The sequence below is a fragment of the Homo sapiens genome, chromosome 1, assembly GCF_000001405.40.
Source record: "Homo sapiens chromosome 1, GRCh38.p14 Primary Assembly".
In the NCBI taxonomy this organism is placed as follows: domain Eukaryota; kingdom Metazoa; phylum Chordata; class Mammalia; order Primates; family Hominidae; genus Homo; species Homo sapiens.
In genome coordinates, this window is record NC_000001.11 from 232,571,791 (window position 1) to 232,599,542 (window position 27,752).

The 27,752-nt window shown below is 41.3% G+C and overlaps 1 protein-coding gene across 11 annotated transcripts in view, besides 1 other annotated feature; it reads right to left on the reverse strand.

The window, feature by feature from the left end:
• The window catches only part of SIPA1L2 (signal induced proliferation associated 1 like 2), a 232,532-nt gene that overhangs the window by 173,826 nt on the left and 30,954 nt on the right, over positions 1-27,752 (reverse strand). For 6 of the 11 annotated variants that reach the window (NM_001377488.1, XM_017001896.2, XM_047426142.1 and 3 more), the window contains one exon: positions 2,384-2,432. The exons of 2 other annotated variants lie outside the window; for them this stretch is intronic. The gene's annotated coding sequence lies outside the window, so the exon portion shown is untranslated. Of the gene's footprint in view, positions 1-2,383; positions 2,439-3,762; positions 27,638-27,752 lie in introns of those variants that run through there. 3 more of the 11 variants (XM_047426143.1, XM_047426139.1, XM_047426145.1) reach the window with 3 other exon arrangements.
• Positions 19,164-19,664: an enhancer, noted in NCBI's record as "H3K4me1 hESC enhancer chr1:232726700-232727200 (GRCh37/hg19 assembly coordinates)". NCBI's record gives its function as "activates a minimal SCP1, AML or CMV promoter by ChIP-STARR-seq in naive H9 embryonic stem cells {active_cell/tissue: H9 hESC(naive)}" and the evidence as "EXISTENCE:reporter gene assay evidence [ECO:0000049][PMID:30033119]".

Sequence of the window (27,752 nt, forward strand, 5' to 3'; positions counted from 1 at the left end):
CCACGTGACATGCTGGCTTCCGCTTCAACTTCTACCTAAAAGCTTTCTTAGGTCTCACCAGAAGCCAAGCAGATGCCAGTACCATGCTTCCTGTACAGCCTGCAGAACCGTGAATTAAACCCCTTTTCTTTGTAAATTATCCAGCCTCAGGTATTTCTTTATAGCAACACAAAAAGGGGCTAACACAATGCATCACAAATGTGCTCCCTATTGTATACGGTAGCATATTCCAGAACTGCACTCATCAGATTACCCATAAAGAAATTAATCTGGAGACCATGTCCTCTAGGTACACGTCTGTATACACCTGACTAAGGAAAATTCAGAAAGTGTGAAGTCCACACAGTGCCTGTTTCCCATAGTACTCCAAAGTGCAGTAAAGGCCAGAAGGTCCCCAGCTGTGTCCGGGCAGCATGAGGTGTCCCTTAGCTGGCCAGCAGGCTAGTAACAGAAAGAACTCATCACTTAGATTCGGAGGAAACCAAGGAACTGGGAGGGACAAGGGCAGCCGTACAATGTGTTGGTTTTTCCTTAAACCTAGGTGGGAAGCACCTCCCATTTCCTATGCTGAAAATGTTCACTATCTCCCTCGTTTTACTTCCGCATCAGAATTTACTCAGTCTCAACGGTTTTCATTAGCACTTCAGCCAAGTCTCTTGATTCCCATTAGGAGGGAACACATTCTTTTCAGGCAGAGTCTGTGTCTACTGTTCTCTCCTCCATTCCACCTCTTTTCTTGCAAGGATTTTCACAATTTCACCACTCAACATGTATGTACTTATGTACTCACAATTTATAAGAAACTCGTAGTGGATATCCACCCCCTCCTCCAGTGGTATTCTGTCACAGTTTAAATGTTTATCGTCAAATACATATATATATATATACACACACATATACATACATATATATATATATATATATATACACACATATATACATACATACATATATATATATATATATATATATATATATATATATATATATTTATTTATTTATTTTTTCCTTGAGACAAAGTCTAGCTGCCCAGGCTGGAGTGCAATGGCGCAATCTCGGCTCACCGCAACCTCCGCCTCCCAGGTTCAAGTGATTCTCCTGCCTCAGCCTCCCAAGTAGCTGGGATTACAGGCGTGAGCCACCATGCCCGTCTAATTTTTTTGTATTTTTAGTAGAGACGGGGTTTCTCCATGTTGGTCAGGGTGGTCTCGAACTCCCCATCTCAGGTGATCCGTCCGCCTCGGCCTTCCAAAATGCTGGGATTACAGGTTTGAGTCACTGTGCCCGGCCCCCCAAATCATTTTTAAAGGCAAGCTCCCAGGCCACAGACCTCAAAATGCACCAACACGCATAAAAGACAAAGGCTATGGAAATAATGATTGATCAAGGGACACAGCAACTAAATGCAGCGCCTGACCCTAGAGGGACCCTATATGGAGGGGAATGATGCTACAAAGGACATTTTCGAGCAAATGGTAAAACTGGGATACAAATAATAGATTTGGTGTGAGTAAGGAATCGATATTAGCTATCTGAAGTTGATAACTAAACCTCTGTTACCCAAGCAAATATCTCTATCGCACTGAAGTGCTTAGGGGTAAAAGGTCATGAAGTTTGTAACCTGAAAACTGTGTGTGTGGGTGCGTGCATGTGCCATGTGCCTGTGTGCATTGTTGTGTAGACACAGACTGAGAGGAAAGGATGGGAATCCATTTTTGACAATCCAAAGCTGGAGGACAAATGTCCTGGGGGTGGTTACTTCCGACAGGCTCCTTCACAAGCCCATCTTATTTCCTGCTGCTACAGGAAATGCAGTATTTGTGCACACACATAAGTAAGGGAGCACCTCTGCCTTTATTCTGCAGCCAAGGAAGGGGTTTAGATGACCGTGCCCCCAGCCCCGGGCAGAGCAGGCTGGACTTGCCCCACCACTCCCTTGATCACCTTCCTCACAACGGCCGCTCTCAGTGGGTCCAGGGCACATCCTATTCGGGGAGAGAAGCCTTTGGCAGCTCTTTACCCACCAACATGCTCACGTGTTGTACCTCTAATATAAGGGATGCTCCATGTAGATAACACACAAACCAATTATTAAAAGCAGATCCTTTTAAACGCATTCAGGGATGCTCACAGCAACTCTTCAGTGACTCCTTTCAAAGCCTCCAGAGGCTTTGAAACTAGGCAACTCCAAAATTCAAATGAGCTTTCTTAAAACAATGCTCACCCATGTATTTGCTGTGGAAGAGTGACAAAATAAAAACATACACTCTATCAGCCTAGGGAAACCAAAACAATCTTTTAAAAAAAATTAGTGGGACACAAAACCCCAATTTAAAAAGCAACATGCCTCTCTGAAGTGAGGATGCCTTGCTTGCAGGCTTACCTGAGTGGGGAAGAGCAGCGGGCTCCTGCTCACACAGCCTGGCAAGAACCTACAAATGAAGAAAGAGACCCATTCAGACTCCCAGAACAACTCTTGGTCAGCAGTTTCAACATGTGGTCTGAGGAATCCCCAGGGGTCCACAGGGTCAAAACCATTTTCATGTTGATACCAAGGCACTATTTATCTTTTCTACTCTTCTTCTCTCCCCAGTGTTCGATGGAGTTTTCCAGAGGTTGAGGAACATACGATAGCACAAGAGATTGAATGAAGAAGCAGGTAAGAGAATCCAGCTGTCTTCTCTTCAGCCACACATTAATGAAATTTGCAAAAGTATAAAGCAATATAATTCTGCTCATTACTTTTTCTGTTTTGAAAAATAATTATTTTCATAAAATGCTATTTATAATAAAATATAAAGGGGTTATTACCATCATTCTTAATTAATAAATATTTTCAAAATTTCTCAGTTTTAATTCTAGTATAGTAAACATCAACAGAGATAAGCCACATAATCAAAAGTTCCATGGAATTCCAATAATTTTTAAGAACGTCAAAGGAATCCTAAAACCAAAAATTTTGAAAACTCCAGGTATCCATTTTGGTACTAAATTCTGTTGAACTACATCTTTTAATGATAATGGCGATGGTCAATATTAGGTATGCAGTGCTACGTACTAGACACTCTACTAAAACACTTTATATATGTTATTTCCAAACTCACCACCACATTAAAAGAAAAAAACAATTGGTCTTTTCTGCCTTCCTGGTTGAGGAAACTGGCACTCAAGAGACTGGTTATTTGCCCCAGGCGAATCAGCAAGCGCAGGATGTGAACTCAAGTCATCTGGACTCCTAAGATCATGCTTTCAACACATCATTTTTTAAAATAATCAACGTAAGAATTTCTGCAAACTCAACTACAGCCAAGCGCCCTAGGGCTCACACTCAGACCTGACACTGCATGGACTCAAAACGCAACAATGTGGAGTATACACTTCAGACAAAACTATATAAACATGGGTTTATGAAGCCAGTGTGGCTCTCTAAATGCTGCCAAGATCCAGCACTGCTTCCTAAAAAAGACAAGACAAACCCCAAGAAGGAGGGCACCCCAGAGACAGTCCCAGTTTACAAGTGTTAACCCAGCATAGCATTAACAGCGTTCCTTTCACTTTGAGAGGCGATAAACTATAAGGTCACCTACCGGGAAGGCTATGACTCGTCTTAGTTTTAAAAAGCCCTCCTTTTTCAATCTGTCTCCATTTTTATGAAGGACAGAAACAGTAGATGAAAAATTACCAGTAGTCCCTCAACTGCGGCTGAATGTAAGATTTTGTGCCGTGGTTAGGATTAGGGTGGGGAAAGAAATTCTCACTGACCATTTTTGTAGCCAATGTAGACAGTTCTGAGTTTAAAAATCTGATGCATAATATAGTGGGTACCTAAAAAAAAAAATTAAACACAGCATTACCATATAACCCAGCAATTCTACTTCTGGGCATACAGCCAAAAGAACTGAAAGCAGGATCTCGAAGATGAACTGGCACAGCCCTGTTCTCAGCAACATTATTCACAGTGGCCCAAAAGGTAGAAGCAACCCAAACGCCCATTAGATGAATACAGAAAACAACATATGGGAAATACGTGCCGTGGAATATTATTCAGCCTTAAAGAGGAAGCAAAGTCTCACACAAACTACAACATAGAAGAACCCTGAAGATACCACGCTAAGCAAATAAGCCAGTCACAAAAAGGACAAATACTGTATGATTCCATTTATATGAGGTATGTAGAGTAAGTCAAATTCATAAAATCAGAAAGTACAACGGTGGCTGCCAGGGATTGGGGTGAGGGGAAATGGGGTTAAATAGATACAGAGTTTTCAAGATGAAGAGGTCTGAAAATGGATGATGGTGATGGTTGCACAACAGTCTCAATCTACGTAACATCAGTGGACGTCTAGTACCGTCAGGGACTCAGACACAGTACTAGGTATAAGGTGAACCTCATGTTACAGTGCTTTGCAGACACTGTGTCTTTTATAGACTGGAGGTTTGTGGCAACCCTGCATGGAGCAAGTCTATCGGCACCATTTTTTAAGTGCTCATTTGGTGTTTCTGTGTCACACTGTGATTCTCACAATACTTCGAACTTCGTCATTACTTTTATGTTTGTTATGGTGACCTGTGATCAGCGATCTTGGATGGAACTAGTGTAACTGTTCTAGGGTGGCATGAGCCACATTCATATAAAACAGTGTATTTAATCCATAAATATTGTGTTCTGATGGCTCCACCGACCAGCCTCCCCCATTTCTCTCTCTCTCCTCAGACCTCCCGATTCCCTGAGACACAACAATATTGAACGTAGGCCAATTAATAACCATACAACAGCCTCTCCGTATTCAAGTAAGAGTCAAACAACTCACTTTAAATAAAAAACCAGAAGCAATTAAGCTCAATGGGGAAGACATGTCAAAAGCCAAAACAGGCCGAAAGCTAAGCCTCTTGCGCCAAACAGCCAAGTCGCGAATACAAAGGAAAAGTTCTTGAAGGAAATTAAAAGTGGTACTTCAGTGAACACACAAATGATAAGAAAGCAAAACAATCTCGTTGCTGATACGGGGAAAGTTTGAGTGTTCTGGATAGAAGATGAAACCAGCCACATTTCCTTAAGCCAAAGCCTAGTTCAGAGAAAGGCCCTAATACTCTTCAATTCAATGAAGGCTGAGAGAGGTGAGGAGGCTGCAGAAGAAAAGTCTGCAGGTAGCAGAGGCTGGTTTGTGAGGTACAAGGAGAGCTACACTAAACAGCAAATGTTCTATGTAAATCAAACAGCCTTCTATTAGAAGACGTCCTATAGGGCTTTCACAGCTAGAGAGGGGAAGTCAATGCCTGGATTCAAAGCTTTAAAGGACAGGCTAATTCTCTTGTTAGCAGTTAATGCAGCTGGTGACTTTAAGTTGAAACTCATGCTTAGTTACCATTCCAAAAATCTTTGGGCCCTTAAGAATTATGCTAAATCTACTCTGCCCGTGCTCTATCATTGGAACAACAAAGCCTGGATGACAGCACATGTGTTTACAGCATTATTTACTAAATATTTTAAGTCCACATTGAAACCAAGTGCTCAGAAAAAAAGATTCCTTTCAAAATGTTACTGCTCATTGACAATGCATCTGGTTATCCGAGACCTCTGACAGAGGTGTACAAGGAGATGAATGTTGTTTCTTGCCTGCTAACAACATCCATTCCGCAGCCCATGGATTAAAAAGTAAATCTGACTTTTAAATTTTATTATTTAAGAGGTAATTTTCATAATGTTATAGCTATCACAGATAGCAATTCCTCTGGTGGATCTGGGCAAAGTAAACCGAAACCCTTTTAAAATCACCATTCTAGATGCCATCAAGAACATTCACGATTCATGGGTGGAGGTCAAAATATCAACAATTAACAGGAGTTTGGAAGAAGTTGACTCCAACCTTCAAGGATGACTTTGGGGTGGGGGCTTAACATTTCAATAGAGGAAGAAATAGCAAGAAAACTAGAATTATAATTGGCGCCTAAAGATCTGACTAAATTGCTACAAACTCAGGATCAAACTTGAATGGATGAGGAGTTGCTTTTTGTAGAGGAACAAAGAAACTGGTTTCTTGAGATGGAGGTGAAGATGATATGAACATTGTTGCAAAGGATTTAGGAAATTACATAAACTTGGCAGGGTTTGAGAGGAGAGACTCCAGTCTTGAAGTTCTACTGTGGGTCAAATGCTATGAAACAGCATGAAGTCTTTCATGAAAGGAAGAGCCGATTGATGTGGTAAACTTCATTGTTGTCTTATTTTAAGAAATTGCCATACCCAGCCCAACCTTCAGCCACCACCACCCTGATCAGTCAACAGCCATCAACACTGAGGCAAGATTCTCCACCCGCAAAAAGACTGACTTGCTGAAGGCTCAGATAATCATTTGCATTTTTTAGCAAAAAGTATTTTTAAATTAAGGTTTGCACATTTTTTAGACATAATGCTACTGCATACCTAATAAACTCCAGTATAGCGTAACTGTAACTTTTAAATGCACTGGAAAAAAAAAAAATCTGTGTGACTTGCTATACTGCAACATTTGTTTTATTGCAGTTGTCTGGGAAATAAGCAAACCTCCGAAGTATGCCTGTACTGAAAGGCAACGTGCGGAAGCCTAGGTAAAATACATTACTGAACTATAAAAGATAAATGTTTCTTACAAAAAAAAAAGGCATGATATTCTACAATTTAAAAAACCTCAAAGCCTCTGAAGCATCAGTATTTTTCAAAATTTTGGGATCTCATTTTTTCTCTAAGGAAGCTTTCTACTCTCATCTATATTCTTTATGCCGATACGTTATGAAGTCCTCAACTTGAGTTTACAAAATAAGTCTTTTAAAGTCCTGTTAATGAAACAGTCTGTGTTTTGTGACTAAATATCTTATGCTTAATGTCTCTTCTCTAGGAGAGACACTTGGTGTTGTAATATCCCCAACACAATGAACAGTCTGTAAAAGGCACTTTTCCTTCCTTTGTTACAGCAAACATCCTGTAAACAATTAATGTTCCACTCTTTTAACTGACGGCTTTTGTTTACTGACAGGAAAGGAAACCACAAATTCTTCAAGTAGCAATAGGGACTGCAGAGTTTTACTTCATTTCCTACTAAGCAGGTGGTTTATATGAGGCAACTGGCTATTGTATTTTACCTTGTTTTGCCTTTAGACAGGAAAAAAAGAAATGAGCTTTCAGCAGCACAATCTTCTCAAGCAACAGAGCTTGGGGCCAGGTGCTGGGATGCCAAGTGTGAGGGGGAAAGGTTCTCCCCTGTTCCCTGGTCTATCACTGCGAGGAGGCTCCTCACACTTCATCAGGAAGCTCTGTGTGAAAACCAGATTTGCAGACAAACAGAGGTCTGGCTCTTTGTTCTTACCAGCAGGTTCATCAGCTGTTTTCTCCGCAAAAGAAAGTTCTGAGAAAGTGAAGGCAAACATTTTCTTTCCACTGAAATGAACACAAATATTCCATCAAGCTCCGTTTCTCTACTTACTGTTAGGATGGATTTGCTAGTATCTGGGGAAAGCCAGCATCAAAAAAAAAGGCTACTTTTTGTTTTTGTTTGTGTTTGTTTTGCAGCCCCACACCACCACACCTCAGAGTTTTCCATTAGCCCCAAAACACTCCGGTCTAGACTCTAGACACCAGCAAGGTCCAGTTCATGACCACATATCCAGGACTAAGCACATGCTCTGTACTTAAAAAGCTCCCAGTACATATTTTCCAAAAGAGAAGAAGAACAGAGGAGGGAGGCAGGGCATTTCCTACAGGATAAGCAAGTGTCTGCTGAAGGAAGAACACAGCCATTCCCATAAGGGAATCCATAGAATAGGTTGAACCATATGAAACCACCAATGGTTCTCTATTTTTGACCTAAAAAAGCAGCAATTTCATGCAATCTAATCTAACCTCTGATGCTCCTCAGTGAGCTTCCCTATTCCATGCTATTGCAGGAGCCATGGGAAAACTTCCTCTTCACTCTCCAAGCTCGATGAAAAATCAACTAAAGGCAGATTAATAGGAGAAAAAGCAAATATATTAATATGAACAGAAGTCTCACAAAACAAAAGAACTTAAAGAAATGGCCAGATGGGTGAAGCTTTTTCTGAGGTTACAGAAAGAATGGGGGCTTGGAGTGTTACTGAAAAGGGATCCCGATCCAGACCCCAGGAGAGGGTTCTTGGGTCTCACACAAGAAAGAATTTGAGGTGAATTCGTAAAGTGAAAGCAAGTTTATTAAGGAAGTAAAGAATTAAAAAATGGCTACTCCACAGGCAGAGCAGGAGCATGGGCTGCTCAACTGAGTATACTTATAGTTATTTCTTGATTACATGCTAAATAAGGGGTAGATTATTCATGAGTTTTCCAGGAAAGGGGCAAGCAATCCAAGAAGTCACAGTTCCTCCCCTTTTTAGACTAAATAGTAACTTCCTGGTGTTGCCATGGCATTTGTAAACTGTCATGGCACTGGTGGGAGTGTCTTTTAGCATGCTGATGCATTATAATTAGCATATAATGAGCAATGAGGATGACCAGAGGTCACTTTTGTCACCATCTTGGTTTTGGTGAGTTTTGGCAGCTTCTTTACCTCAACCTGTTTTATCAGCACGGTCTTTGTGACCTATATCTTGCGCTGACCTCCTGTCTCATCCTGTGACTAAGAATGTCTAACCTCCTGGGAAAGCAGCCCAGTAGGTGTCAGCCTCATTTTACTCAGCCCCTGTTCAAGATGGAATCACTCTGGTTAAAATGCCTGACAGGAGCATGGCCAAAAACAGGTTATGATGGTACCTCAAGTTATGATGACAGGACAGGTTATGGGAAGGGGAGGAGTCCTGGCTAGCAAAGGTTGCCTCATGATGCAGATGAAACCTCACATGGGTAGCAGCCCTCAGACAGAATGGATGGTAAATTTTTTTTCAGACCTTTATAGGTGTCAGACTCTCAGTTAATCTTGCCTAGATGAGGACAAAGGAGGGCCTTAGAGAAAGCCTGGCTGTATTAATGCAGATTCCCTACAGATGCAAATCTCCCCTACAAAAGACAGCTTTTCAGCTGTTCTTGCATTTCAAGCCCAGTGAATAGCCATCTTGAAATATGTCAAAGTATATTTCAGGATAAAATACTTTGGTTCCCTTCACTCTCTTTACCATCAATCCTTTATTCTGCTACAACACTAACTTTATCCCTCTCCTTTGTGCCCTCACAGCCAACTGCCACATGAATGGCCCATAGCACCTATAACTCAACATGCAGAAGATGGAGTCTGCATCCTTCCTGACAAATCTCCTCCTCCACCCATGTTCCTGACCTGGGCTAACAGCTCCAGTCTTCTCTTACCCTCCCTCTTGTGCTGCAACCATGGCACCTAAAGTTTCTGTCCTCCTCGTGTCCCTTTCCCACATTCCGTTCTGGTTCTTGTAAGGAACCATCCCTGCCCTTGATGTCATGCTGTCCCCTGAGCTGCTCTGGGCACACCATTCCCTTAGCTCGGTGACTAGTTCAAGGATATGTGCAGGCCATGGCAAGGTCATATACGGTTTTCTCTGGGATGATGTCGGGATCTTAAGAAGTTCAGTTCTGCCAAAGGAACTAAGCTAGGAGGGTGTGGGCTGCAGCCGCTGGCCACTGTCTCATAGATCACAGAGAAAGGGCTGTTATGCAGAGCTCAACGTAGGGAAGGCAGAGCAAGGACAGAGAGAGAGAGGAAAAAAGAGGCCTTCTGACAATGTTTGAGCCCCTGAATCCAACAATGCCTGTAGTATGCCACCCCTAAACATCCCAGTTACTTGAGCTATGCCTTTCTTTTTTTGCTTAAGTTACTTTGAGTTTCTTTGACTGATAACCAACAGCTCACACAGACACATCTGTTCAAAACTATACTATGTGTAACTTAAATCTCAAAATAACCTTCAAATAATTCCTTAATATGGCCCAAGTACCTTCGTAACTCAACTTCCCTACCTGACAGTCAGAATACACATTAAATGACCTTTCCCAGATGAATATGCCCTAAAGGTTCCTGCCTCTGTCCCTTCTATCAAGACGTCCCCTTACCCAAAATAAACAGCATCCTTTGCGCCTAAAAGCCCCATATTCCCCACAAAACTTTCTCAGACATTTCCAAGAGAAAAACTGTTAAAGAAAAACTTCCTAGATAGAAAAGTGTCTCTTCCTCTCTACTACTCACTTAGAATACTACTTGTACCTTTTGCTGGAACATTTTTCAGTCTCTTATGTAACTTCTTGATAGATATGTCTGCAACCTTCAACTGTGAATTCTTAATGGGCAGAAGCCTTATGCATAATAATAAATGGTTGGTGAAATGAATAAGCAGGCAAGCTTGTTGCATTCAAGAAACATTTGTTGATGATGATGTCATGATTAATTTCATTCACTGTCTATGCTTTTTCCATAATTTTTTTTTCAACTTTTATTTTAGATACAGGGGGTACATGTGCAGGTTTGTTACATGGGTATATTGCACCCCGGCAGTGAGCACAGTACCCAAGAGATAGTGTTTTACCCCATCCTCTCCTTCCTTCCCTCCCTCCCTTCCTCCCTCTACTAGTCTGCAGTATCTTATTCCCATGTTTACATCCATAGGTGCTCAATATTTAGATCCCACTTATTAATGAGAACATGTAATATTTAGTTTTCTATACCTGCATTGGTTTGCTTAGGATTATGGTTTCCAACTCCATCCATGTTGGTATGAACGACGTGATTTCATTCTTTTCATGACTACACAGTATTCCATAGTGTATATATACCACATTTTCTTTATTTAATCCACCACTGATGGGCACCTAGGTTGATCCCATGTCTTTGCTGTTGTGAACAGCACAGTGATACACATAAGAGTGCATGTGTCTTTTTGGTATATGATCTATTTTCCTTTGGTTATATACCCAGTAATGGAATTGCTGGGTCGAATGGTAGTTCTAAGGTCTTTGAGAAATCTCCAAACTGCTTTCCACACTGGGTGAACTAATCTGCATTCCCCCCAACAGTGTATAAGGGTTCCCATAATTTTTTACATTAATTCTTCTCTGAGCTTTTAAGAATAAATAATTAAGTTATTGTGATTATTGGGATAGCCTCCATGTGGTGTTGAAAATTCTGTGGCTCTTTCAGTAATTCCCACAAACAAGATATATAAGGAAGACTCGTTGGAAACCAATACATCCCTGCTAAATTCAAGCTAAAAAGCTTTAACTACTCCACAATGAACACAAAGCGCAAATTTCTAGTCAAGGCAACCAGGCCACTAGCAATATCTCCTATTTATTTTTCCAGCTTCTTGTCCTGGTGCTCTTGTTCTCACACTCAAATAGTTGTTCTTCCAACTTGCCTGGGTAAAGGGTGGAGCAGTGAAAAGTCATGATGCTGCTTGGTGAACACACACCTCTTCCACCCAATTTGTAAAACATTACAAATAATGATATCATTTTAGTATGGGAAGCAGGGACAATTTTATTAGCAGAAAAGATATAAGTTAGGAAGTAATAGGCATCATCACAAGCACGACTATCCAGGAAAAAAACAGGACATAAAATTTAGCATATATAGCTGATACAGGTTTTTCCATCATTTACTAGTTTGCTTTTACCATCTGCTTGTAGACAAGCAAAACACTAAAAATGAGAAAATATCACTCATTAAAGTTGTAGCTTATATTAGTTATCTTAAGAGTTGAATAGTGATACAGCCTGAAGACCATCCATGGTCAAATGGAGCACAGTGAAAACCATAGTGTCCTCCATTCTCTGTGTAGGCTGAATAAAGCTCTAACTTAATGATGTTTCAATGCCATAAACATTTCAAGACTGGGGAATTCTATTATAAACCTGAAATAGTACTCATTAAATCAATAAAGAGAGGAGAGAATAAACTGTATGTGTTAAATTCAAGAATATTCTCTATTTTAAGGACAGCTACTAAAAGCAACTGTAATAAACTAAGGAAGTCTAAATTCACTCAAACAACTACAGGTGTCCATGAAAGGTAATTATGTCTCAAACTGATAACTCTGCTAATAGTACTATCTCTGTTTCTGACACTGAAAGATGCTGGGGCTCAGAAAATGATGTAACAAAGGCCTCAGAAGGAGCTCTCTCTGCCCTCCTGTCTCTGGTCTCTCATTCTCCTTCGAAGCAAGCCATAGAAACTAGAATCCCTCTTCCCAAAGACAGGTCATAGAAACTAGAATCCCTTTTGCCCAAAGCTAGCTATAAAACCTAAACGTATTAACTCTTCCCCGCTCTCTGTATAAAAACTGGCCATAAAGAAATTATCTGAACTACCATGTTTGATTGTAGATCATAAGATGCCCATTCCAAAGAGAGTCCTGCACCATACCCAGAAGGAAGGAGAACATACTCAGAGAGGCCAAGAAGAATTCTAGACAGACAGGCCTTGCTGGGCTTCCCCATTCAGTCGGTTAGAAATCAATCATATCCTTTTAGTCCAATCTTTTTTTTTTTAGACGGAGTCTCACTCTATCAGCAGGCTGGAGTATAGTGGTGCGATCTCTGCTCACTGCAACCTCCGCCTCCCAGGTTCAAGCGATTCTCCTGCCTCAGCCTCCCGAGTAGATGAGACTACAGGTGCATGCCACCACGCCCAGCGAATTTTTGCATTTTTAGTAGAGACGGGCTTTCAGCATGTTGGCCAGGATGGTCTCGATAGAGACCGTGTGATCTGCCCATCTTGGCCTAGTCCAATCATATTTCTGCACAGCTGACCATACTTTGTTGAACCTAAGCATAAAAATGGACAGTTTATCCTGTATCTTTGGGTCTTCATTCTGAAGGCTCTCATGTGATATAAAAATGTGATCAAACAAATTTGTATGCCTTTCCTCTCATTAATCTACCTCTTGTCAATGATTTTCAGTGAACCTTTCAGAGGGTGACAGGGAAGTTTTCCCTTGGCCCCTACAAAGGGAAAGTATCCATTCTCAGATGAACTTCTTAAATCATACTTAAATGACTACTTATACAAAACGCTAGATGGAAACCTGTGAAGAGTTAGGTCAACCAGACAGAAGAAAAATTAAAAAGGAAAAATAAATTTGTAGAAATTTGTCTGCAATAGGCTTGAGCACTTCTGGAAGAGAATAAATAAATCCATCATTAGAAGGTTATATAACTATGTTGCCATCCATATATGGGGGAGAGAGGAAGTATTGTGGCTGATTTACATCAAACATTCACTAAGTAGTAAGGGGATATTTCATTTAAGCCCCCATTACTTCACAGTGTTCAGATTTAAACCATTATATATCTCCTCAATTGGGGTAGAGATCTTGATTTTTATACACCTAAAAGTAGAAACACAAAGCTAACTTCTGTAATAAATGTACAATTTGGGGAAATACAATGAAACCATTTGAAATGTAATAAAAGTGAATAATCTTTACCTATCCATTTGGGTAATTTGCTGTATTCAAGTAAACACAACTTCTATCAATTTTCTCAGCAGCAATGTATTAGAACCAAAGATGACAGTTCTATAAACATAGCAGAATATACTCTTCTGGAGGCTTACTCTTATTTTCTAGCTAAGTGCCTTTCTCCCCACAGTAAAAGAAGATATTTACAATCTCATATATGGAAATGGTCATAGGATCACCACAGAACAATTCAGACCTCATTATATAAGCACAGATGAAGACCTACAGTGTCTAAGGGGCAGTGGGGAAAGGGACAGGCCAATGGTTAATGCCTAATGGAAACTGATCCAAAGAGAATAATTTTCTTCTCTAATATTCTCTCTCCTCCTCTCTCTGTGTTTCTCATCTCCAAAACTACTTCCTACTCCAAGGAACAGCTTGATACTGGAAGCTCTGTGCACATGTAAAAGGGTAAAGTAGAACAATGAAACCATACAAAGAGAACAAAGGAGGAAGAAGGCCAATCCTGGAAGCCTCATTCTCCATAACAAGGTTCCCTTAATCTAAAAACCTACCAAGGGAGGCAAACACAGAGAAGAAGCTGCTAAGAGTGCTGATACTGAACATGCAAATCAAAGGGCTTATAGCAACAGCAGAAAGTCAAGATGGCAGGTTTGGTAATAACACAGCTACTGACTTGCAAACACTCCAAAAATGCTTGCTGAACTGAATTAAATAGTTCACAGCTTGAAGTAGGAAAAACCATGATGAGCAAGACTGGAAAAGGTGGTACCTCTAATCTGTAAAAATAATAACAGCAATAAAGAGAAAACTATGAAGGAAATAGAGTTGGAATATTTCAAAACAAAAGGCCAACACAAAAAGAAGATAATATTTACTTAGCTTGGCTTCATCAGCTAACTCAGAAAAATCCCTCATGAAAGCAAAGCACAAGACTCGGTTTCTCCTTGAGACCCTGTTTGTTAGCTCTGTCTCCGCACAGCGATACAGTTTGCACAGGGGATTCTGCCACAGTTCTGCCACCTGTACTCTGATATTTTCTCAGTGATCATGTGGGTCCTCTCTCTGTGTCCAGAGGAGTCAATTAAAAAGACATTCATAAATTGAATGTCTAGGTTTCACACATCCACATCCTCAGAAGCAGGTGTCCACTACAATGTATTTATTAATATTTTATCAGATGTCATTTTATCTAGACAAGTTCATCATCGCCACAGTTATTACCAGGGAGTCCTACTGCAAAGGGCAATTGAAGAGCACCTGGCTTCCTCCCAAAAGGCTCCAAAGACCGAACGACTCCAACCTGAGTGTTCGAGATTCACAGGAAGAGCTCGTCACGTAATCACACAAATCAGAAAACTGAAGAGAAAAATAAAATGGGTCAAAATATCAACTCACACAAAAACAGCTACTCTAAATGACTTAAAATTTCTTTTAATGAAGAATTTTTAAAAAGCTTCTATAGAAATAACAAGATATTCTTCTAGGCATGAAAGCTTTCTCTTCTAGAGCCACCCAAGAAAAACACACTTGTGATTCTTCATACACAGAAAACAAGCAAACATCATCACTACCTAGTTACAATGCGAAACTGCTGGGAAAACAGGAGTGAAACAGGAGTCTTTGTCACAAACAGCATCAATTACATAACCAATGTGATGCTGTCCCTTCATACTGGGCACATTCCCAATCAGGGGAAAGAACACTGGTTGGCTTTTTAAGTGAATAATGATAAAGACTGCGTCTATTATTTTTGGAGTATGTCTACACAGCTGGTGTCATGGGCCTTGATGGTAATAGGAAACAGACATACAAGGGTAGGGAGACTGAGGATGACGGTATCACAGGAAGGTGGGATGGGAGGGGCTGTGCAGCTATATTTCACAACTTTATTACTTTTATACTACAAAAAGATTACCTTGACTAATCTTTATTATGAACACAAAACCCATTTGACTTTTTAAAAACTAATGAATTTATGCAGCCATTACACTTGCCCTAATTATTCAAACTGCTACATAAAGTATGAACTGATACACCAGGTACAGATTTAGATGTTCAGGACACAGGAGTCAACAGCCCCAGTCAAAGTGCCACACTCCAGGAACTCTCTTACACATCCCTCCCACATGGCCCCACACGTCTATCACCACACGTATGAGGTATCTGACCCATTTCTGTAATACTAAGTTCATAACGAGTCAAGTCTAGTTCTGTCTCATTTAGCACCTTTCCTGTATGTCTTAAAGTCGTGGTTCTCAAAAAGTATGAACCACGGGCCCCTTAGGATCCCCAAGGCTCTTCAACTGGATCTGTGAGGTCAAACTAGAATTCTAAAGCTGTTATTTGCCTTTTTGTACAGCATCAACAGTACAAGAGCAACAGCATGTAAAAATGTGTGTACCTTACTACACAGCAAGGCAGTGGCCCCACACTGTACTTACTAGCTGTCATCTTACCACATAACTGCAGTTAAAATAAATGAAGAGATCAGTCACCTCACTTATTGTCCTTGATGGATGATATGATTTGGCTGTGTCCCCACCCAAATCTCATCTCGAACTGTAGCTCCCATAATTCCCTCGTGTTGTGGGAGGGACCCAGTGCGAGATAACTAAACCATGGTGGCGGTTTCCCCCATACTGTTCTTGTGGCAGTGAATAAGTCTCACAAGATCTGATGGTTTTAGAAGGGGAAATCCCTTCCACTTGGCTCTCACTCTTCTCTTATCTGCCGCCATGTGAGACGTGCCTTTCACCTTCCACCATGATTGTGAGGCCTCCCCAGCCATGTGGTACTGTGGGTCCATTAAACCTCTTTCTTTTGTAAACTGCCCAGTCTCGGGTATGTCTTTATCAGCAGCAGGAAAACGGACTAATACAATGGAGAAGTAAAAAACTGATTTTATTACGCCTTGACTCTTGAGCACACACACACTATGACTCTGTGTGAAGGAAGGGAAAGCCCTGTTGCAGCATATACTGGTGGCTGTCGCAAGGGTCAGCACCTGTGGGGTGGACCTATGAGGTGATGAGCCACTTTTCTTCATTGAACCCAACCTTGTACTTGACAGAGCGATATATAAACAATGGTTATTCCGACAAGGCTATCTGGCAGGCATTTTAAAGAAAAGAAACAAAACAGGCCCATTTTCGAGGAAAACAGTAAGATTAAGCTTTTATGAAAATTTTAGACTTTCTTAAAACTTGAATAACCACTGTGATCTTGACAATTTCCCTACACTTAAGAATTTTCTGATTCATGACAAGAATTTTTGATATTACAAGTGAAATATATAAACATTTGGGAGATTTTTCTAAGTGGCCAATGCATGATATTCAAAATAATACCTAAAACAGAGTTTTTAAAGTTCATAGATAGGGTTTCAGGATCTACATACATCTCGACCAAACTTTGAGATACCACTTCTCTAGTGTTATATCAAAGAAGATCCACTATTATCTGAAAGGAAATTCAAGCACTCCCTTTTCCAACTACAAACCTGTGTGAGGCTAGGTTTTCTTTGGTTGGATGGCAACCACAGCTACATATCACAACAGATTGAATGCAGATGCAAGGCAAGAAAACAGCTGTCTTCTAATAAGCCAGATATTAAAGATATTCGCAAAAAATAACGAAGCATACTTCTCAATAAGTGTCTTAGTTTTGGAAAATAGTTATTTTTCACGAAAGTATTATTTATGTTAACATACAGGTGGTTATATTGTTATTTTAAATTCAATAATGATTTCTAAAATCCCTTTTTTATTTCTGATATGGTAGATTATGTGATTGATAGAACTCACATAAACAAAAACTCTTTGGAGTCCTCAATTATTTTCCAGAGTGTAAAAAAAAGGCATGAGACTAAAATAATTGAGAAGCACTATCTGAAAGAAACATTTAGGTGGCAGTTCCCTCAAGGAAACACAGGGGCACGTTTATGGAAAAGAATTTGAGACATAAAGCAGGTGAGCTAAAATTTCCTCACCATCGGGTGACAAAACGCAGTTTCATTTCAATTCATTAAGCCAAATACGTATTCACTGAGGTTTCTCTTTAGGGTCAGACAATGATTAAACTATTTAAACATTTGGATCTCCATTAATCTTCCATCAATTTCCCAAATGACTAGTCTTGTGTAACACTACGGTAACACAGTATGTAAATTCACCCAGTTAGCTCACTGGTACTTGTATACTCTCCCAAATCCACTAACATTCACTACATTGTCTTTTGCCACCATTGGCTGAGAGGCTTCTCACTGAATTATTGATTTTCTGCCAATTAATTACCATAGTTAAGATTCAGTTGAGCTTCTCTTCGCAGAAATTCTTTTTTCCAATCTCACTTCTCTTGTACCCTTTGGAGTCTGTTGGGGAATCAAAATAATTGGTAACCTAAGGATAAGATACTGAGTTCTAAAAATATCCTTGGCATAACTTACAAATAACTCAGTTGTCAGACACTTAAATGGGCAAAGCACTGTTCTCCAGTGGATTCCACACTTGGATGCTTTTCAGCTGATCTTCCCTCAACTCTCTGTCAACAACTTTACTACAGGAATCTAAGACAAATCCATTTTACTGAACCCAGGGGAAAACTGATAAGTGCATTCACATATAGGCTCCTGTTTAGAAAAATGGCATGCTTGAGGTATAAGAACTATAAAAAAGAAAAAAGAATCTCCTTATCTATAGTAAGGCATATGCGTTTCAGGAAAGGAAACACAACTTCTAATTCCTGAAACAATACTTGCACAACTAAACAGACACTTCCTGCAGCAGTTCAGAAACCATCCAGCCAAGGAGGACGAATCACAGAACAGGAAGTCATCGCTCTATCTCAAGTCAAGGGTTCCTCTGAGGGCTTCCAGAGCCCACTGGAGTGTGCCTGCAATCCAGCAACGCAATCCGGGAATTCCATCTCTCCTATCCTCTTCCCCACAAGGGAAGTCAAGTCCCCAGACACCTTGCTGGAGCACATCATGGAACAGACAGTCCTCACCTCCCCAATTCCCACAGTCTCTCACCTCCACCTCCAGGGCCCTCCCACGCAGGCTACACAAAACCCCTCAAGAGTTTATCTCAAGATGCCCCATAAAAATGACTCTTGACTTTATTTCTCTAAAAGGTGTGTGTCACCAATTGCGCAGTGAGATTCAATAAAGCTCCATTTATTTTTGTATACAACTTGAGTCTGAAGAAAGTAAATAAATTAAACCAAACTTAATAAAGTTGAAGGAGAAATAAGAAATTTAACTCAGTGATAGCACCAGCATTTTAACAAGACTGCTGGAAGAAAGTGAGCTGGAGTTCATACACACTGTTTTCTGGAAAGCAGAGGGTATGGAGGAGAAACACAGTGGACCTGATGTCACATGCTGATTCAGACCCTAGCTCTCGGGCCCTACCTACTTCCTGAACGGGAACATGGCTTAGAGAAGCACATGGCATTGGGCCTCGCCCATGCAACCAGCCACACACAAATTAGTTCCATCCCTGCATTCCTCCCAATATCTCTACCACCATAAAAAAACAAAAAAAGGAAAAAAAAAATTGTCCTGCAGTGAAAGAATATGAGATCTTCCAACTAACTGCAGACCAAAGTCAGTCATATCGAACAGTGAATTCTTTACCATGCATTAGACAAAAGAAACTGGATTAGAGAAGTGACTCTAAGAGAGAAATGAAACCCACCCCATCAACCTAAAATGCAGACAATACAAACAGGAAGGACTGTGCTTTGTAAGAGTTTCCTCAACATAGTTTACAGCAAACAAAAGGGAATAAACCTTGGTCAAGTTAAAGGGCTGGTTAACGGAAAGCCGGGTAAATCAGAACACGGCTGATTTCAAGGTGTGTGCCCATTTTCCGGAGTGCAGCCAACACAGGGGAGCAGTGATGAGTGCTCACCGTCTCTCTTGGCCTTACTGACCTCCAGCACCCTATCTGAAAATAGCAGCCCACATAGGAACAATGACAAAACAGCCAAAAAGCATTTAAATGGAAAGAGTTAGTTAAACAAAAATTAGTAACTCGGCCTATTACAAAAATAGTTCACATGTGATTCCCTATTTCCTTGACCAAATTGGAAAATAATTTAGCTGTTTATATTTCAGAGAGAAGATCAACACACACAGGTACTCGAGTACTGACATTTCCATATTGGTCATGACGGGATCAGTCCTGTAAGGTTTGCTACTCATGAGTACTGTGCTGCCCATTACCTGTTCTACACCAAACCCAGCTCCTCCCTGGGTCTGCCGAGGATGGGCAGTGGAGCCCTTGGGCCAGGAGCCCCCACCAGGGCCAGGAATGTGGCTGCCTCTGGCTGGTCTCCAGGGAGGATGAGGTTTAACCTTTAACCCAGAATGGCATAGCCATCTGGCACCTCTGCCTTTTGTTGTGTGTTGCCTTTAAGCTCTCTCTTCAGGCCTTGTGATGCAGTTTACTGACTGGCAAGGTTTTCTCTCAGTTTTCTAGTCTCCTTAGTGAGGCCATGTTAGGGCAGAGTCTAAGAAAATCAAAAAGATGCGGTACCTTATGACAAGGAGAGAGGAAAATGCTTCCGAGCCCTTGTACCAATAAACTCCTGACCAAGGAGTCAGTGAACGGAGGTTGCTCTACTTCAAAATCCAGTTTATCCCAGCCCAAGAGGAACTCTTGTTCCTCACTTCTTATGTTCTAATTTTTAATTTACTAGAACTGGCTGAGACTCTTGCTTAAAAAAATAAGAACACAGTTGAAATGGCAACAGCCTAAGCCTGTAAGTGCCGCCTGCCATCATAAAGGGCCACTTCTATGGGTGCTTCTAGTGGGACTGAGCCCTTATGTCCCTTTTTTTCCCACTAATCACTCTTAGGAAGGGGCTACCAGAATAAGAAAAAGAAGGAAAACGTGACTGAATTATCCATTGCCACTATTTTACTACTAAAAATAAACTACCAGAGAAAAGAGAGGAAAAAAATATAAAGTTATCAATTCTTACACACACACACTTACTTAGAGGCTGTCTGAAAGCAAGAGGAATATTTAGCACAGACATTTGCAGACACTTACCGTCAGAATTAAAATGGGAAGCTGCATAGATAGAAGTCACTGAATAATTAGCCATGAAGACAATTTTCCTCCGCTATCTGCCAGATACAATTTCTTTCACTCCATCTCCAGAGGTAAACACATCTCAACTGGTATAGCTGAATGAGACCACCTGCCACTTGGTTTGCAAAGGTTCTTAATTTGGGGTAAAATTGTAGCCACCTAAAATGTTCAGATCTAAAAATACAAGTATTCTTTTATAAATCAAGTCTGTTGATCTTAAATCAAATTAACTCTGGTTTATATGTGAAAATAAAATAAAAAACTGATTTATCATGTAGTCTATACACTCCTGGCCCTCAGGTATTGAAAGACTAAGAAAAACTTAGTGAATCAAAGGAAGGAAAGTTTACTGTTACCCCAAAACTTTGTAAACTGCCAGGTTTTCTAGAACTAAACAACAACAACAACAAATCTTTTTTAACCTTTCCATAAAGAACCTTAGAAAACTTGTAATAAAACTAATTTAATATAAAATTAAAATGAGCACTAATATTTCAAGCTTCAGTTTATCCTCTCCGAATGTTCACAGGAAAAAAAAAAAAAGGTGAAAATGCCCTTTTCTTCTCTCCTTAAATCCTCTATTTCATAGTCTTCTGCTGTACGACTGGAAAAATGGAAGAAGGGGAAATTAGTCCCAAGTAATGAAGAGAATCAGTTCCCTGTAATTCCTGACCTCAGGAAATTCTCGGTTTTAATAGTGGTGCAGGTGCTGGACACATTCAGGTAGATCCACATTTTTATCTGGGCTGAACACACCCAAGTAAATCCAAATGACTTAGGAAACTCAGACAGCAGCTGCAAAACGACTCTGAAGACAGCGTGTTCAAGGGCTGCATAAATTATTACATATTGTATCACGTATTTACAACAAACACAAAACATCACATTTAAGAAAAACAATAATATATATTTTTCTAAAAGTCCTAAGTCAAATATTCAACTCTCTCATAGAGATATCTTTAAAATGTTAAAATGAGGTATCTGGTCAATTCCTGTTTAACAAGCATAAGTAATAATGATGGGCCACATTTCCTGAGTCCTTTCTGCAGCCTGGGAGAAAGGCTGGGGTGAGGAACCCGCTCAGCACGCACGGGCTGTGTGCTTTCAGCTTCTGCACTGACACCTTTTTCTAGATGTTCCTGAACATAAGCAGGATATTAATGGGGGCGCTTCATTTTAAGGCCTAATCTGGAGACATTACATTTTTTTAAATGTAGCTCGCAGAATAAGAATTCTGAAACCAATTTTAGTTTGGTTTCAGAATTTACCATCTCCAGGGTGCTTTTCATAAAACGATTTGTTATGGTTTTGTTCAAATGATTACATAGAAACAATCCAAACTATCTATAAAATGTCACTAAGTATCTTAGAAGTCAGAGTGGCCAGCATTTTCCAACAAGTTGTTGAAATTAAATGAAAAGATACAAATTCTCAGTAACACACACGCACACACAAAAATAAATAAATAAAAATTAAAACATCCCACTTAAATCGTGTCAAATAAGCAATATTCAAAGTAGGAACAGGTCTTTAGAAAAGTCACCTTTCAGCAAATGGTTGTACCGCCCTCACCTAAGGGGCCTCTTTATACTCCGTGGACATCCAGGGCAGACCCTGCTTGGGCAGGCACAGTCTAAATGGCCCAGCCTCAAAGCCACAAGGGCAAGCTCAGGCCCCTCAGTCAGCCCTGCTCAGCTGGCTCCTGCCCTCCTGCCCAAGCGGTGGGACCTCTGACCCTCTAGTAATCTCTAACCTGTCTCCGACAAGCCTGACCTTAGCCCCCTATTAAATCTCAAAACCCCACCCTGGCAGCATCCTCAGCACTCCCCTCCAGTCTCCTCTCCAGATAGAGTGAGATGACCTCACTCTATCTGCCCAGTCGGACTAGAACAGGCTTGTAGAGTGTGACTCCTACTGATTCCATGGAACTGATAACATAAGAAGTGAAGGTAAAACATGAACAAAGGAGAGCGTTGCCACCAGAGGGGAAAGGAGACAGTGGTAGAGCTGCTACGGGCAGAGCTGGCTGTGGGGAAAAAGCAAGGAATAAAAATCAACAGCTGGTGCTAAGGAGAGAGTAAAAACAAGGGGAAAAGTTGAGTCAGAGGAGCTGGTGTCAAAGATGAGCACACAGGAGAGACGTGAGTGAACACCGAGCGGAGCCAGGGCGGGGACTCCTGCCCTCACCTCATTTTATGCTCATCATCACCCACAGCCATCGCTCTGTCTGGAGTAGCTATGGCCAGACAGTTTTTATTTCTTTAGTTTCCATCCTCACTCTCCTTCTGGGAAAAACAAATATCTTGGGACCAGTGCTTAAGGGAGTCAATTTCAATGCCCCTTTACCCAGCCTCTTTCTAGCTATTCTTTTTAAGTTTTTTTTTTAAAAATCAATAAGCTCCCTTGTTCCCACCAAAGTTTTTCCAGTTCAACAACCCTAAAAAGTCCTAGTCTCTAAATTTCATATGCTTATTCTTAGATCTAATCAGAACCTCCCCTGAAATATTCTAACACCATTTAACTTTTTTATAAAGCCTGCAGGTAATGCCCAAGCACCTCAGGTCTCAGGCAGGCCAGTGGTGTTCCACTGCGGCTACACTGTACCATCACCTGAAGATCTGCAGCGCCCACACCCAGGCTGCACCCATTCCAATTAAACCAGAAGCTCTGCAGGGGCCCAGGCATCTGTTTTTGTTGTTGTTGTCAATGCTCCCAGTGATTCCAATATGGAGCCAAGTTTGAGAGGGCACAAAAGAAACACAGCCAAGGTGCCCATTCGGAGGAACAGGAACAGCTACACAACCGTGGCTAGCTGCTAGTGATGACTTACCTTGCTTACCACTTTTCAACTGCCCCTTCCCTTAGTAATAAGTGATGTTGCTAGGTTGAAATCATTGGTCCACTGGCTAGTGAGGTCTGGCCCTCAGTGTCTTCCCAGTCACCAACTCTCTCATGCATACAAAGAATACTTACCCCCAGCTCATCTAATTTCCAGTCCAATGGGCACAAAGCCTCGGGGCAACAAAGAAGGCCTTCACTCTAATAAACTGGTTGAAATAAAATTAAATTAAGCCATAAAAGAGAAAAATGCAAAGTCTGGGCCCCAAACTACAATTGAAGGTCTAGCAAAGGGCGGCCAGAGGTCGGAAAGCACACCACCCTTTGTGCTGGGCTGTCACTGCTGGGCTGTCACTGCTGCACCGGGCGGCTTCTGACTCCTTTCAGCTGTCACATTCCTCACAAAGGAGAGAAGGCCAGGGGTCCGGACGTTCCCCCCAGCACACTAATCTCATTCCACCCGACTCAAACTCTGCTCTGGGTCTGCAAAAGTCATCTTTTGTGCTCCCCCAACCAAAGAGGATTTCAGATTCCTGACTTTCATATGAACTGTCTAACTTTCAATAGGGAGGGAATGGTGGACTATGTTTAGGTAGAGTCTGTGCTACAAATGACCATTTTCTTCCAATGCTCATTCGAAAATGAAACCCTTTTTAGGGTTTTAGGAATATTTGGAATTTAAGCTTTTGTTCCTTTAAATGTTTCAAAGAAATAAAACCTATTTTCATTAGGAATAGATGGAAATCATCTTTCTAATGCTAGTACCGAGGATCGAATGGGTCCAAATATGTTAACCAAATGAAAATATTGCTTTCCACAATGGTTGACAATTACCTTAGAGTTCCACTGCCCATAGAGCTCACTGGGAAAAAAGTGAGTAACTTCCCTTGCTCTTTTCAAAACTGTTCAGCCTCATGAATGATGCCTTTGGGATGCTATTTGTAAGAGGTTTTAAGCTGAAGATGGGGGTGAGGGTGGAGGCTAGACACAAAGAAGAGGAGAAAGAAAAGAAGGTTCTAGCTTAAAACTAACCAGGATTCCGGAAAGTCAAAGGGCTAGTCTTGAAGTGGTTCTGCTGATGCCCAATTCAGGCTTACCCTGAATATACTGCATGCTCTTAGCTCACCGCTCACTCTCTCAAATCCATTTTCCCTCATGAAACAACACAAAACATACAGAACATCACACTAGAAAAGCCTCCCCAACACTCACATGCTATAAGAAAACTGCCCTATGTGTTTCCCACATGTGAAACGAATTTCAAACACACACTGCCACTGAGGCATCGTCTGCTGAAACTAACTTCACAGGAGAGCTCCATCAAAGCAGAACTGGGCCCCAAATCACCAACAAGGAAGGACCCTAACATAATTCTTTGGTTGCTGAATTTATTCATGCTATTATAAGACATTTAGAATTGCTTACAGAAAAATAAACTGTTAAATATTTCTTGTTTTATCATTTTGTCAATAAATATATTCTAAATATCAATGTTCATATGAAGGAAGGGTAAGATGTTTAGCTCCTTGAATTAAATAAATACTCTATTAAATTTCCAGTAGTTAACCTATTTGTAGAAAGAACAGCTTCTTCTTATTAATATTGAAACAATCACTACAGGGAAGAAGAGTTTTTGAGAAGCCTGTTAGTGAGAAGTGCTTCTTCCCCGCTTCGCCTGTGAGGGGATCGATGAGTTAACTCTGGGACTCTTCCACTCCTGAGAAGTGCAGGGACTTATCTGATTAGAAAATGGTTCATTCCCGGCCTCCTCCTGCTCAAGGACCAGGCCACCGTGCAGGCAACATGCCACCTGGGCCCAGTAAGTTAAATGGCCTAATCCTGAGACTCTGCTGGCAGGACCATTTGGTTTTCACAACAAGCTGTGGCCTCCAACCTTGCCTCTATCAATAATAAATGATTATGTGGGCCTCTACTTTCACTTTCCTTACGGTTTTTAACTTTTTCAAAGCTTGGGCAGGAAGAGGGTTCTATGAGCATCCCAGAAACCCCAACATCTGTGAATGGGTAACAGTATCAATTTCACTTCCCAAAAGGGCACTTAACCTAACAATGCACCGATGAATACAGCCAAAATTAAAACGTGGCATCAATACCCCACACACACAGGCCTGCAGGCCTGGATGGCAGCCCCCAAACACAAACAATCCAGAGGAAAAGGCACAAGGTGGGGATAGTGAACTGGTAGAGGCCAGGTGACAGCAGCCTCTATGGTGGGACTCAGGGGCCTGAACATCAACCTAAAGAAGTAACAAGATTTGGCCGGGCGCGGTGGCTCACACCTGTAATCCCAGCACTTTGGGAGGCCAAGGTGGGCGGATCACAAGGTCAGGAGATCGAGACCATCCTGGCTAACACGGTGAAACCCCGTCTCTACTAAAAAATACCAAAAAAAAAAAAAAAAATTAGCCGGGCGTGATGGCGGGCGTCTGTAGTCCCAGCTACTCAGGAGGCTGAGGCAGGAGAATGGCATGAACCCAGGAGGCAGAGGTTGCAGTGAGCCGAGTTTGCGCCACTGCACTCCAGCCTGGGCGACAGAGCGAAACTCTGTCTCAAAAAAAAAAAAAAAAAAAAAAAAAAGTAACAAGATTTGATCTGGACTCAGAAGAATCACTCAGGCCCCTACTGTGATCCAGGCAAGAGAGGCTGATCTTGGCCCTGTAGTGACAGTGGAGACCTGAGCAATTTCAGAGGTGGAATCAGAACCCCACACAGGAATTCCTTTTAGACAGGCTGAGTCTGAGGCACCCGAAAGAACACTTCGAAAGTGAAATACACACCTCACTTTTAAAACCTGTTCTCCACATTTTCTTAAAGGAAGGCACACCTGCATGTGAGCCAAGACTGAATGTGAAACTAACAAAAGCTTGCCAATAATTGTGTCCTCATCCTCAGCCTGGCCATGATCTCTTAATTTTCATTATCTGGCTCCCAAAGAGAAGCTTGCTCTGCTTAGTCAATGTTCCTTTTAAAGACAGCCTGTAGGCCAGGCTCTGTGGCTCATGCCTGTAATCCTGACACTTTGGGAGGCCAAGACAGGAGGATTGCTTGAGCCCAGGAGTTTGAGACTAGCCTGGGCAACATAGTGAAACCCTGTCTGTTAAAAAAAAAAAAAAAAAATCAGCCGGGTGTGCTGGTGCGCACCTGTAGTCCCTGCTACTTGGGAAGACAAAGTGGAAGGATTGCTGATTAAGCTGAGGAGTTTGAGAGGCTGCAAGTAAGCGGTGATGGCATCAATGTACTCCAGCTGAGTGACAGAATGAAACCCTCTCTCTAAAAGAAAACCAAAAATGACAGCTTGTAGCTAACTCAAAGACACCTGTTGTCTTTTGATTCATCCATAAAGCATCAGAAATATACAAATAAATTATGCAGTGTCTTAGCCTGTTCAAGCTGCTATAACAAAAATAGCACAAGCTGGGTAGCTTATAAACCAAGAAATTTATTTCTCACAGTTCTGGAGGCTGGAAGTCCAAGATCAGGGCACTAGCACATTCAGGGTCTGGTGAGAGCCCACTTCTCTGATTCACAGAACGTCACCATCTTACATGGGTCTCTTCCTCTCTTGGGCATCTTATAGGGGCATTTATCCAATTCAACAGAGCTCAGGCCTCATGACCTAATCACCTTCCAAAGGCCCCACCTGTCAATACTATCACCTTGGAAGTGAGGATTTTCAACACATGAATTTTGGGGGAATATAAATATTCAGACCAAGCAAGTAGAGACTGGTGAGCAGACTAAGATGAACAAGACAAACAGGCCTCAGCTGCAGCTCAACTCCAGTGAAACAAACCTGTTACGTATGTGACAAACCCTCTACCCCTCAAAAAAAAAAAAAAAAAAAACTTCCAAATCCTGCGATTTTTTAGCCACTGCATTTAAATGTAATTCGACAGCTGCTTTAATGGAGCAATTTCCTTCATAACCCCAAATCCATTCGATTCAATAACATTAGTTCCCTTAGCAAATAATGAGCATCCATTAGGTGAACAGCAACCAGCTCTATGCTTAAACCCTATAAAGTGACAGAATGAGGGCAGGGGTTCTGGATTCAGATTACATATTTAAAAAAACAAACAAACAGTGGTGTCTGATCATCCGGAACACCGCAGCTTCTGCAAATACCACCCACTCTGCCTAGGCCAATAACAGCTTAATGAGTCTGACGGTGGAGCCTAAACCAAAAGCTTGCTCCCAACACCTGTATATTCCCCCACTGTAAGTATACCACTCAGCAAGGCATCCAGGACAGCAAGATGCTGACTGCTCCTCAGCAAAGATCTGCCAGTAAGAACAGTGGCCAAGGGCAAATTTTTATCTGTTGCAGGAAGTTGCATCATCTTCTGTACGCTATCAAATCAAAATGTGTTTCCAATTCCAGGAGAAACCCACCAATCCACAGTG